The sequence below is a fragment of the Homo sapiens genome, chromosome 19 (genome assembly GCF_000001405.40).
Source record: "Homo sapiens chromosome 19, GRCh38.p14 Primary Assembly".
In the NCBI taxonomy this organism is placed as follows: Eukaryota; Metazoa; Chordata; class Mammalia; order Primates; family Hominidae; genus Homo; species Homo sapiens.
In genome coordinates this window covers 9,774,276-9,786,806 of record NC_000019.10, presented here as the reverse complement: position 1 = coordinate 9,786,806, position 12,531 = coordinate 9,774,276, and the positions used below count along the sequence as shown (strand labels likewise).

Here is a 12,531-nt window from a genome sequence, read left to right as displayed (position 1 = left end):
GGCCTGGAGCGGTGGCTCACGTCTGTAATCCCAACACTTTGAAGACTGATTACAAACTGGGAGGTTGAGGTAGGAGAATCCCTTGAGCCCAGGAGTTCAAGACCAACCTGGGCAATATAGTGCAACCGCTATCTCCACAAAAAATTAGCCTGCTGTGGTGTCACGAGCCTGTAGTCCCACCTACTAGAGGAATTGAGGCCGGAGGGTCACTTTAGCCCAGGGGTTGGAGGCTGCAGTGGTGAGGGTCTCGGTGAGGGGGACATGGGGGCGGGCACCCGGTGAGGGACAGACGGGGGCGGGAGCCATGATTGCGCCACTCACTCCAGCCTGGGCAACAGAGGGAGATCCTGACCTTAAAAAAACCCTCTTCACTATTATTTTTGGTATAAAATAAAAAATTATTTAAAAATTGTATTAGGAAATAAAAATATTAGTGAAAAGGGATGTATCAGTTATCTACTGCTGTATAACAAACCACCTGGAAACAGCGCATACTCGTACATGGCGGCATAAGCGCAGAGGAAAGCGAGCAGAGGCATTTCGAGGTCCAGCCCAACCGACTCCCTCCATCATGGTCCAGCCCCCCATACGTCCTCCCGCCGGGTTCCGCCCCCACGGTCCCCAGTGAAGCCGGAGGGCGGGGTCCAATCGCGTTTGGCTGCGCGGAAACTAAGACTTCTCCCCAGAGTTGCGGAGGACGCGGCCGCCGCCCCTCCCAACTCCTCAGGCCTCCGAGGCCGGGTCCAGAGCCCTCAGTTCCTTCTGAAACCCTGGAGCGGAATCAGAAGTGCGCGTGGCCACAGCGGCGCCTCCTGCCCTTTAGCCGCCGCTGGCCCAACGGTTTCCCCAGCAGTAGCCTCTGCGACCAGGTGCGGCTTCAGGTGCGGCTTAGCCACCCGGAGGGAGGCAGACGGGGGCGGGGTCTCGGTGAGGGAGAGATGGGAGCGGGGACTGGGTGAAGGGCGAGATGGGGGTGGGGTCTCGGTGAGGGTGAGACGGGGGCGGAGCCTCGGTGAGGGGGAGATGGGGGCAAGGTCTTGGTGAGGGAGAGATGGGGGCGGGGACTCGGTGAGAGGGAGATGGGGGCGGGGTCTGGGTGAGGGAGAGACGGGGGCGGAGTCTCGGTGAGGGGGAGATGGGGCGGGGTCTCGGTGAGGGAGAGATGGGGCGGGGTCTGGGTGAGGGAGAGACGCGGGCGGCGACTCGGCGAGGGAGAGATGGGGGCGGGGACTCGGTCTTGGTTGAGACAGGGGCGGGGACTCCGTGAGCGAGAGACGGGGGCGGGGAGTCGGTGAAGGGAGAGATGGGGGTGGGGTCTCCGTGAAAGAGAGTAGTGGTGAGGGGACAGACTGGGAGGCTGACGCAGGCGGATCACGAGGGCAATCGATTAAGACCATACTGGCCAACATGGTGAAACCCCATCTCTACTAAAAATACAAAAATTAGCTGGGCATGCTGGCAGGCGCCTGTAGTCCCAGCTACTGGGGAGGCTGAGGCAGGAGAATCGCTTGAACCTGGGAGGCGGAAGTTGCAGTGAGCCGAGATCGGGCCACTCCAGCCTGGTGATAGAGCGAGACTCCGTCTCAAAAAAAAAAAAAAAAAAAAATCTCGGTGAAGGGGGAGACAGGGTGGGGTCTCAGTAGTGAGAGAACAGATGGGGCCGGGGTATTGTGAGGCTGCATCAATGATGCATATTTCCCAGTCTCACTGACTTCTTATGGTTAGGTCAGTATATGTGCGGGGGAAAAGAAAGAGAGATCAGACTGTTACTTGTGGGGAAAAGAGAGATCAGACTGTTACTGTGTCTATGTAGAAAAAGGAAGACACAAGAAACTCCATTTTGATCTGTACTTAGAAAAATTCTTCTGCTTTGAGATGCTGTTAATCTGTAACCTTAGCCCCAACCCTGTGCTTGCAAAAACATGTGCTGTGTTGACTCAAGGTTTAATGGATTTAGGGCTGTGCAGGATGTGCTTTGTTAAAAATGTGTTTGCAGGCAGTATGCTTGGTAAAAGGCATCGCCATGCTCCATTCTCGGTTACCCAGGGACACAGTGCACTGTGGAAGGCCGCAGGCACCTCTGCCCAAGAAAGCCCGGGTATTGTCCAAGGTTTCCCCCCACTGAGACAGCCTGAGATATGGCCTTGTGGGAAGGGAAAGACCTTACTGTCCCCCAGCCTGACACCCGTAAAGGGTCTGTGCTGAGGAGGATTAGTGAAAGAGGAAGGCCTCTTTGCAGTTGAGATAAGAGGAAAGCATCTGTCTCCTGCTCATCCCTGGGAATGGAATGTCTTGGTGTAAAACCCGATTGCACATTCTATTTACTGAGATAGGAGAAAACCGCCTTATGGCTGGAGGTGAGACATGCTGGCGGCAATACTGCACTGAGATGTTTGTGTAAAGTGAAACATAAATCTGGCCTACATGCACATCCAGGCACAGCACCGTTCCTTAAACTTATTTGTGACATAGCGTCCTTTGCTCACATTTTCCTGCTGACCCTCTCCCTACCATTACCCTATAGTCCTGCCACATCCCCCTTGCCCAGATAGTAGAGAAAGTGATCAATAAATACTGAGGGAACTCAGAGACCAGTGCCGGTGCAGATCCTCACTTGCTGAGCACCCGTCTCCTGGGCCCACTTTTCTTCCTCTATACTTTGTGTCTTATTTCCTTTTCTCAGTCTCTTGTCTCCACCTTGCGAGAAATACCAACAGGTGTGGAGGGGCAGGCCCCCTTCAATACGAAAAAAATCTACATGGGCCTGGACTTTTTTTCTTTAGGAAAAAAAATCACCATTATCTGGCCAGGCGCGATGGCTAGTGCCTGCAGTCCCAACACTTTGGGAGGCCGAAGCGGGCAGATCGCTTGAGCTCAGAAGTTCAAGACCAGTCTGGACAATATGGCAAAACCCGGTATCTACAAAAATAAAAATAAATAAAAATAAAAATTAGCCAAGCATAGTGGCACTGTGCCTGTAGTTCCAACTACTTGGGGGGCTGAGGTGGGAGGATCACCTGAGCTTGGGAGGTTGAGGTGGTGGTGAACAGTGATTGTGCCACTGTACTCCATCCAGGCGACAGAGTAAGACCCTGTCTGAAATTAAAAAAAAAAACAAAAACAAAACTGGCCGGACACGGTGACTCACACCTGTAATCCCAGCACTTGAGCTCAGGAGTTGGAGACCAGCCTGGTGAAATTATGTCTCATTATTATTTATACAAAATAAACTTTTAAAGAATATATATATATATATATATATTTTTTTTTTTTTTTTTTTAGTGATGAGACTCTCACTATGTTGCCCAGGCTGGAGGGCAGTGGCTATTCATAGTGGCAATCATAGCACACTGCAGCCTTGAACTCCTGGCCAACATGGCGAAACCCTGTCTCTACTAAAAATACAAAATTAGCTAGGCATGGTGATGCGGGTCTGTAATCCCAGCTACTAGGGAGGCTGAGGCAGGAGAATCGCTTGAACTTGGGAGTTGGAGGTTGCAGTGAGCTGAGATCGTGCTACTGCACTCCAGCCCAGGTGACAGAAAGCTAGACTCCATCTCAAAAAAAAAAAAAAAAAAAAAAAAAAAAGAATTATAGGGAGAAGTCCAGGTACTCAGGTCTGTATTTCAGCACTTTGGGAGGCCAAGGGGTGGCTCAAGTGATCAAGAGCAGCCTGGGCAAGATAGTAAAAACCCATCTTTACAAAAAAATTTAAAAATCAGCCAGGCATGGTGGCATACATCTATGGTCCCTGCTACTGGGGAGGTTGAGGTGGGAGGATTGCTTGAGCCTGGGAGGTCAAGGCTGCAGTGAGCCATGATCATGCTACTGCACTCCATCCTGGGTGACAGAGCAAGACCCTGTCTCTTAAAAAAAAAAAAGTTACAGGGAGATAGTGTTATGTATGGAGTGCTTGAAGAGGTAGAAGATCTAGAAAGAGCCACAGGTGTGCATTTTGAGAGAGTTAAAGGAAGTTGAGGAAAGCCATTTGTTCCTTTCAAATGCATATGGTGTCCTATTTAACCAAAATTATATCCCAGTAACATTTCTTTTCCATCTAGCTGTGTATTTATGGGTAACCTAATGTAACAGACACATATCAAAGTTTCAGTTAATTTCCTACTCATGTAACAATCTAAATTTAGTTGGCTTTCTTCCCCTGGTGGTGCAGAAACCCAGTATCTTTCAATGTTGAGACACCATGTACATCTAGGTGGAAAGGGAAAGTAAAAATAGAGAAAGCTGGCTGGGCATGGTGACTCATGCCTGCAATCCCAGTGCTTTGGGAGGCTGAGTCGGGAGGACTGCCTGAGACCAGGAGTTGGAGACAAGCCTGGGCAACCTAGCAAGACCCCATCTCTGGAACAAAAAATTAAAAATTAGGTGTGGTGGTGCACACCTGAAGTTCCAGCTACGTGGGAGGCTGAGGCTGGAGGATTGCTTGAGCCCAGAAGTTTGAGGCTGCAGTGAGCTGTGCAGCACCACTGCACTCTAGCCTGGGTGAGAGATTGAGACCCTGTCTAATAAAAAAGAGAAAGCACATTGCTCTTTGGCTAACACGACACATTTTTTTCCTTTAACATTTTGTGGTAAAAACTAGTCACAAGGGCTAGTGCCATTCCTGGTGGGGCAGCTATTTTTCAGCAATCACTCTGTATTCTGGAAGGGAAGAAAAATATTGAGGGAAAGTTCTTCTATCTCTGGATTCTGCTAACTTAAAAAAATTATTAGGCCGGGTGCGGTGGCTCACACATGTAATCCCAGCACTTTGGGAGGCTGAGGTGGGTGGATCATCTGGAGTCAGGAGTTCGAGACCAGCTTGGCCAACATGGTGAAACCCCATCTCTACTAAAAATACAAAATTAGCAGGGCATGGTGATGTGCACCTGTAATCCCAGCTACTTGGGAGGCTGAGACAGGAGAATCCCTTGAACCCGGAGGCGGAGGTTGTAGTGAGTCAAGATCGCACCATTGCACTCCAGCCTGGGCAACAAGAGCGACACTCCATCTCAAAAAAAAAAAAAAAAAATTGTTTGCCCTTGGGAAATTTCTCTATTTTCTTTTTCATTGATAGAGCAATTAAAAAATAAAGGGTTTTGTTTTTGTTTTTGTTTTTTCCACTTGCTTTGCTGTAAAGAAAAAAGTTTTTTTTTGTGGGATCTGGGATTTTATATCAAGACAGTCTTTCAGAAGACTGTTTGCCTAACTTCCACAAGCAGGTGTCTAGACTAAAATTAGTTTCTACTTTCCTGGAGTTCATCAGACAGCATGAAAGATAAACAGCGCAAGTGATAAAGCGTTATGACAAGACTTATAATAAAGGAATTTCAAAGGGGCTATGGGGTGCTGGGAGGGGAGGGATAAGAGTGCACCTAACAGTGGGTGGGACATGGTGGCCCATACCTGTAAATCCAGCACTTTGGGAGGCCAATGTGGGCAGATCACTTGAGGTCAGGAGTTCAAGACCAGCCTGGCCAACATGGTGAAACCCCATCTCTCCTAAAAATACAAAAATTACAGGGCGTGGTGGTGCATGCCTGTAATTCCAGCTACTCAGGAGGCTGGGGCAGGAGAATTCGCTTGGACCTGGGAGGCAGAGGTTGCAGTGAGCCAAGATCCGCCACTGGGCTACAGAGGGAGATTCCATCTCAAAACAAACAAACAAACAAAAAAACACCTAACAGGATATTTTCTCCAGAGGAGGCAAGGTTGACTTAAGTTCTGAAAGATGTGTAGGACTATATCAAGTGGACAAGAAGAGCATATGAATGCAGAAGCCAAGTCAGTAATTCTCAACCTAATCCTTATAGAATGTCCTGGAAACTTGAGAAATGTACTAAGGGCTGAGTCCTACCTCAGACCAATTAAAACAGCATTTATGGGGATGTGTCATGGGTATCAGTGTTTTTAAAAGTCCTCCAGTGAATCTAATGTGCAGCCACTGTTGAAAACTACTGCATAAGGGCCATGGTGAATTCATGAAAGTTAACTGATTTTGGTATGTCTGGAGTCTCTAACTGTGGAACATTAGAACTGGGAGTAAAACATCACTAGGTCAGGCTGAGTGCAGTGGCTCACACCTGTAATCCCAGCATTTTGGGAGGCTGAGGCAGGTGGATCACTTGAGGTCAGGAGTTCAAGACCAGCCTAGCCAACATGGTGAAACCCTACCTCTACTAAAATACAAAAATTAGCCGGGCATGATGGTGCACACCTGTAGTCCCAGCTACTCGGGAGACTGAGGCAGGAGAATCGCTTGAACCTGGGAGGCAGAGGTTGCAGTGAGCTGAGATCACACCACTGCACTCCATCCTGGGTGATAGAGCAAGGCTCCATCTTAAAAAAAAAAATCACTAGGTAATATCATGATGAAAATTTAAGACTGTTTAAGAAGATTTGAGTGGAGTCTTAAAACATTTCAGAGAACTAAGGGAAACTTGCTGGGTGTGGTGGCACATGCCTGTAGTCCTAGTTATTGGGGAGGCTGGGGCGGGAGGATCACTTGAGCCTGGGAGTTGTAAGCTGCAGTGTACATGATCATGCCTGTGAATGACCACTCCACTCCAGCCTGGGCTATATAGCAAGACCCTGTCTTTAAACAGAAAGAAAAAAAGAGTGGCCAGGTGCAGTGGCTCATGCCTATAATTCCAGCACTTAAGAGGCTGAGGTAGGGGGATTGCTTGAGCCCAGGAGTTTGAGACCAGGCTGGGCAATATAGTGAGACCTCATCTCTACAAAAAAAAAAACAAAAAAAAAAACAAAATTAGCTGGGCATGGTGGCATGCATTTGTAGTCCTAGCTACTTGAGAGGCTGAGGTGGGAGGATCTCTTGAGACCAGGAGGTCAAGGCTGCAGTGAGTGAAGATCACTGTACTACACTCCAGCCTGAGTGACAGGAGTGACAGCCTATCTAAAAAAAAAAAAAAGTCGTGATGGCCGGGCGTGGTGACTCATGCTTGTAATCCTAGCACTTTGGGAGTTGGAGGTGGGTGGATCACCTGAAGGTCAGGAGTTCGAGACCAGCCTGGCCAACATGGTGAAACCTCGTCTCTACTAACAATACAAAAAATTAGCTGGGTGTGGTGGTGGGCACCTGTAATCCCAGCTGCTTGGGAGGCTGAGGCAGGAGAATTCCTTGAACCTGGGAGGCAGAAGCTGCAGTGAGCTGAGATCACGCCATTACACTCTAGCCTGGGCAACAAGAGTGAAACTTGGCCTCAAAAAAAAAAAAAAAATTCTGGTGGGGTGCAGTGGCTCATGCCTGTAATCCCAGCACTTTGGGAAGCTGAGGCAGACAGATCACCTGAGGTCGGGAGTTTGAGACCAGCCTGACCAACATGGAGAAACCCTGTCTCTACTAAAAATATAAAATTAGCCAGGCGTGGTGGCGCATGCCTGTAATCCCAGCTACTTGGGAGGCTGAGGCAGGAGAATCGCTTGAACCCGGGAGGCGGAGGTTGCGGTAAGCCATGATCGTGTTATTACACTCCAGCCTGGGCAACAAGAGTGAAACTCAGTCTCAAAAATAAATAAATAAATAAATAAATTCCTTTTATTCTAACTTCTGGAAGTAACATTTCTTCCAAAGGAACCAACCTCTTTTCAAGGTGACACCCCGAAGCTACAGTTGGCTGAAATGTCAGAGTTAAATCGTCTCACATGAGCATTCTATTCAACTATTTACCCTCAGAGCTAGAAAGTGGATATTAATCTAACCCTCATTTTACAAATGAAAAATATTATGCACAGAGAGTTTAAGCCTAGATTCAATCTCAGGCAGTCTGATTCCAGAGGAATATTGTTTCAACATTGGGTTATAAAGTATCAGTTTTCTTATATACTAGCATAGTATTAAACTTTGAAGATAGGGCATGGTGGCTAACACCTGTAGTCCCAGCTACTGGGGAGGCTGAGTTGGGAGGATGGATTGAGCCCAGGAGTTGGAATCCAGCCTGGGCAACATAGCGAGACCTTGCGTCTTTTTTTTTTTTTTTTTTTTTTTTGAGACGAGTTTTCGCTCTTGTTGCCCAAGCTGCACTGCAATGGCATGATCTCAGCTCACTGCAACCTCTGCCTCCTGGGTTCAAGCAATTCTCCCGTCTCAGCCTCCTCAGTAGCTGGGATTACAGGCACATGCCACCTCACCTGGCTGTTTTGTATTTTTAGTAGAAACAGGGTTTCACCATGTTAGCCAGGCTGGTCTCAAACTCCTGACCTCAGGTGATCCATCCGCCTTGGCCTCCCAAAGTGCTGGGATTATAGGCCTGAGCCACAGTGCCCGGCCCCCTCATGGTTTCTTTTAGCTTGTTTTTCTGTCACCTGCATTTTCTGTAAATTGGGAGGTAGGTCTAGAGCAGTGATTTCCAATGGGGATGATTTTACTCCTGGGGGACAGTTAGCAATGTCTGGAGACATTTTTGGTTGTCACTACTGGGGATGCCTTTGACATCATCCATGGAGAGGTCTGGGATGCAACAGCTGAAATCTCCTTTGAATCCCTGTAGTGAATTTTTCATTTTAATTATTGTATTTTTTAGCTCCAGAATTTCTTCTTGGTTTCTTTTTAGGTTTTCTATCTCTTGATTGTTATTTATATTCTGTTCATACATCATTTTCTTGAGTTTTTCCATGTCTTCCTTTAGTTCTTTGAACATCTTTAAGGCAGTTGTTTTAAAGTCCTTGTCTAGTAGATATACCATTAGGTCTCTTCCAGGGAAAATTTATATTTATTTATTTTTTCTTTGAATGGGCCATACTTTCCTGTTTGTGTGCCTTGAGATTTTTGTTAAAAACTGGACATTTGAATCTGATAATACTGTAACTCTGGAAAGCTGATTCTCTCCTTTGTCCAGTGTTTGCTGGGTTTTTTCTGTATTGTTTTGGTTTGTACACCAGTGTTCATAGCACCGTTACTCACAATAGCTGCCAGTGTCAAACTCAAGTTTTAGTCTGGCTTTTTTTTTGTATTTTTTAGTAGAGATGGGGTTTTGCCATGTTAGCTAGCTTGGTCTCAGACTCCTGACCTCAGGTGATCCACCCACCTTGGCCTCCCAAAGTGCTAAAATGACAGGTATGAACCATCGCACCTGGCCCCAAACTCAAGTTTTTCCACATCCAATTGTTTAAATTTTTTTTTTTGGACAGAGTCTCACTTTGTTGCCAGGCTGGAATGCAGTGGCACGATCTGGGCTCACTGCAACCTCCGACTCCCTGGTTCAAGGGATTCTCCTGCCTCAGCCTCCCAAGTAGCTGGGATTACAGGCACATGCCACCACGCCCAGCTAATTTTTGTATTTTTAGTAGAGACGGGATTTCACCAGGTTGGCCAGGATGGTCTCGATCTCCTGACCTCGTGATCTGCCCACCTCGACCTCCAAAAGTGCTGGGATTACAGGCATGAGCCACCGCACCCGGCTCCAAACTCAAGTTTTTCCACACCCAATTGTTTTTAATTTTCTTTTGGTTTGTTTGTTTAAAGATAGGGTCTTGATTTGTTGCCCAGGCTGGAGTGCAGTGGCAGGATCACAGCTTATTGCAGCCTGAAACTCCTGGGTTCAAGCAATCCTCCTGCCTTGACCTCCCAAGTAGCTGGGATTACAGGTGCAAGCCACCATGCTTGGCCATCCAATTGTGTGTGTGTGTGTGTGTGTGTGTGTGCGTGTGTGTGTGTTTTCTTTCGTTCTTCTTCTTCTTTTTTTTAATGATCCTGAATCAATTGTTTTAAACATAGTCCAAACAAGCAGATTTTTTAGTCCTTTAGGGCCTGCCTGCTCTGCATACCCCGGTGAAATTGTGCCAACCATTTGATGACCACAGAGAAGATAAACCCTCCAGCTATAAAAAGGACCCCAATCCCTTGCTGCTCTTCAGAGCTTTCTGATTTAGAAACTTCCCACTAGGCTGCTAAGCAACTTCACCTAGCACATAAGCTCCCTCTCAACTCCCATTCTTTCCCTGGAGTTCTCTTGCTCTCCTCCCATTCTGAGTAGTGACCTCCAAGTCTGTAGCCTTTGGATATTCTCATGCTATGAGGGACTGCAGGGACCAGCCCCACAGGGTCGGTGGGCTTCTCCCTGTGTGTGGCGACAAGAGAGTGTAGAAATAAAGACACAAGACTAAGAGATAGAAGAAAAGACAGCTGGGCCTGGGGGACCGCTACCCCCAATGCACGGAGACCGGTAGTGGCCCCAAATGTCTGGCTGCGCTGTTATTTACTGGATACAAAGCAAAAGGGGCAGGGTAAAGAGTGTGAGTCATCTCCAATGATAGGTAAGGTCACGTGGGTCACGTGTCCACTGGACAGGGGGCCCTTCCCTGCCTGGCAGTTGAGGCAGAGAGGGAGAGGAGACAGAGAGAAAGACAGCTTATGCCATTATTTCTGCATATCAGAGACTTTTAGTACTTTCACTAATTTACTACTGCTATCTAGAAGGCAGAGCCAGGTGTACAGGATGGAACATGAAGGCGGACTAGGAGTGTGACCACTGAAGCACAGCATCACAGGGAGACGGTTGGGCCTCCAGATAACAGTGGGCAAGCCTGGCTGATGTCAGGCCCTCCACAAGAGGTGGAGGAGCAGAGTCTTCTATAAACCCCCCCGGGGAAAAGGAGACTCCCTTTCTCAGTCTGCTAAGTAGCGGGTGTTGTTCCTTGACAGTTTTCGCTACCGCTAGACCATGGTCCACCTGGCAATGGACGTCTTCCCAGACGCTGGCATTACCGCTAGACCAAGGAGCCCTTCTGGTGGCCCTGTCTGGGCATAACAGAAGGCTTGCACTCTTGTCTTCTGGTCACTCCTCACTATGTCCCCTCAGCTCCTATCTCTGTATAGCCTGATTTTTCCTAGGTTATGATTATAGAGCAAGGATTATTATAATATTGGAATAAAGAGTAATTGCCACAAACTAATGATTAATGATATTCATATATAATCATGTCTATGATCTATATCTGGTACAACTATTCTTGTTTTATGTTTTATTATACTGGAACAGCTCGTGTCCTCGGTCTCTTGCTTCAGCACCTGGGTGGCTTGCTGCCCACAAGGGACCCCACACACAAACCCATCAAAGCACTGCCCAAGTGAGCTACTGCTGCCTTGTGGTCACATATTTTACGTTAATCACCCAAAAATCATTCAAATACCCTACATATGCATATATTTTTGTTTTTCACATTTAGTTCCCTGATTCATTTGGAGTTTATTTTGTGAATGGTGTGAGTTATCCATGTAATTTTGTCTTTTTCCAGATGGCTAACCACTTAATCTTAGCACCTTTCATTGCAAACTGCATTTTTGCCCCAATTGATCTGAAATACCACCTTTCTGAACTGAATTCCCATATGTTCCTGGATCTATTTCTAGATATTCCATTTTATCCCATTTGTCTGTTTCCTGTTCCTGTTCCTATCCACAGTTTTAATTGTAGAGGCTTTATAGTATGTCTTAATATCTGTAGGGCATTGTCACTTTTGTTTTTCAGAGTTTTCTTGGGTATTATCAGACGTTTGTGCTCCCATGTGAACTTTAAAATTAATTTACAAAACTCCATTAAAAAGTTTGGTTTTTTATTGGGATTGTTATATATATATACACACACACACACACACACATATATATACACATATATATGTATATATATTTAAAACATCTTAGATTTTAATCCTTTCTTTACAGATTACCTACACCATTTTTCACTAAGAAAACTGTAGAAAGTTAGTAACTGCCACAAGTGAATGTCAGGCGGTGGCACGTGTCAATTTCCACAGAGTCCTGCTTTGCCGGGTGTCTGAATGCACTGCATGGGGCCTCTGCTTACACTTGCTGGAACCAATCGTGGCAGATTTTAGTCCACAGGTCACTTTCCCCATATTTCTTTGTAAACTCTTCAGCATTCTTACAGAATTTTTTACGGTCCTTAGAGTATTCTTCAGCTAGGTCAGCCCGAAGCGGGTGCTCGGGCTGGGGGTCATTCACCAGTGCTATGAGGGACTGGATTACTTGGTCGGTTTTGGTTGCTGGCTTCCAGTTTTCAGCACTAATTACTGACAGACAGACCTGCCCCTTTTCGTCGATATTTGGGTGATAGATCTTTGTTTTAAATGTGATCTTTGGTAGTTTGAATGGATACTCTGCTGGAAAGTTGATTTCGATTCTGAAGGTCACCTAATCATATGGAGAGTTGTCAGGAACAATAAGCCCTTGCTAAGTCAATAAATTAGCTTCATCAACCTGGATGTTACGGGAAGTTTTTCATCCCACATTTGCAGATTTCCTCAAGCTCTTAATCAGCCTCCTGCTGGCCGCCATCTTGGATTTGGTATTTTTTTTTTTTTTTTGAGACGGAGTCTTGCTCTGTTGCCCAGGCTGGAGTGCAGTGGCGCAATCTCAGTTCACTGCAAGCTCCACCTCCCGGGTTCACGCCATTCTCCTGCCTCAGCCTCCCGAGTAGCTGGGACTACAGGCACCTGCCACCACGCCTGGCTAATTTTTTGTATTTTTAGTAGAGACTGGGTTTCATCGTGTTAGCC

The 12,531-nt window shown here is 46.8% G+C and overlaps 1 protein-coding gene and 1 pseudogene across 11 annotated transcripts in view, besides 5 other annotated features; one reads left to right on the top strand and one right to left on the bottom strand.

The window, feature by feature from the left end:
* Positions 1-646: 646 nt before the first annotated feature.
* Positions 647-12,531, top strand: part of ZNF846 (zinc finger protein 846) — a 37,542-nt gene continuing 25,657 nt past the window's right edge. For 7 of the 11 annotated variants that reach the window (NR_172869.1, NR_172870.1, NM_001395840.1 and 4 more), the window contains exon 1: positions 647-869. The gene's annotated coding sequence lies outside the window, so the exon portion shown is untranslated. Of the gene's footprint in view, positions 882-12,531 lie in introns of all 11 variants that reach the window. The other 4 variants (NM_001395839.1, NM_001395841.1, NM_001395838.1 and 1 more) reach the window with 1 other exon arrangement.
* Positions 946-1,175: a silencer, noted in NCBI's record as "silent region_10040". NCBI's record gives its function as "represses an Ori minimal core promoter by ATAC-STARR-seq in GM12878 lymphoblastoid cells {active_cell/tissue: GM12878}" and the evidence as "EXISTENCE:reporter gene assay evidence [ECO:0000049][PMID:35858748]".
* Positions 946-1,830: a biological region, named in NCBI's record as "H3K27ac hESC enhancer GRCh37_chr19:9895653-9896484".
* Positions 999-1,830: an enhancer, noted in NCBI's record as "H3K27ac hESC enhancer chr19:9895653-9896484 (GRCh37/hg19 assembly coordinates)". NCBI's record gives its function as "activates a minimal SCP1, AML or CMV promoter by ChIP-STARR-seq in naive H9 embryonic stem cells {active_cell/tissue: H9 hESC(naive)}" and the evidence as "EXISTENCE:reporter gene assay evidence [ECO:0000049][PMID:30033119]".
* Positions 1,831-2,662: an enhancer, noted in NCBI's record as "H3K27ac hESC enhancer chr19:9894821-9895652 (GRCh37/hg19 assembly coordinates)". NCBI's record gives its function as "activates a minimal SCP1, AML or CMV promoter by ChIP-STARR-seq in naive H9 embryonic stem cells {active_cell/tissue: H9 hESC(naive)}" and the evidence as "EXISTENCE:reporter gene assay evidence [ECO:0000049][PMID:30033119]".
* Positions 7,330-7,505: a silencer, noted in NCBI's record as "fragment chr19:9889978-9890153 (GRCh37/hg19 assembly coordinates)". NCBI's record gives its function as "represses an EF-1alpha promoter that drives an FKBP-Casp9 reporter gene in an ReSE screen in K562 erythroleukemia cells {active_cell/tissue: K562}" and the evidence as "EXISTENCE:reporter gene assay evidence [ECO:0000049][PMID:32094911]".
* Positions 11,647-12,322, bottom strand: UBE2L4 (ubiquitin conjugating enzyme E2 L4 (pseudogene); annotated as a pseudogene).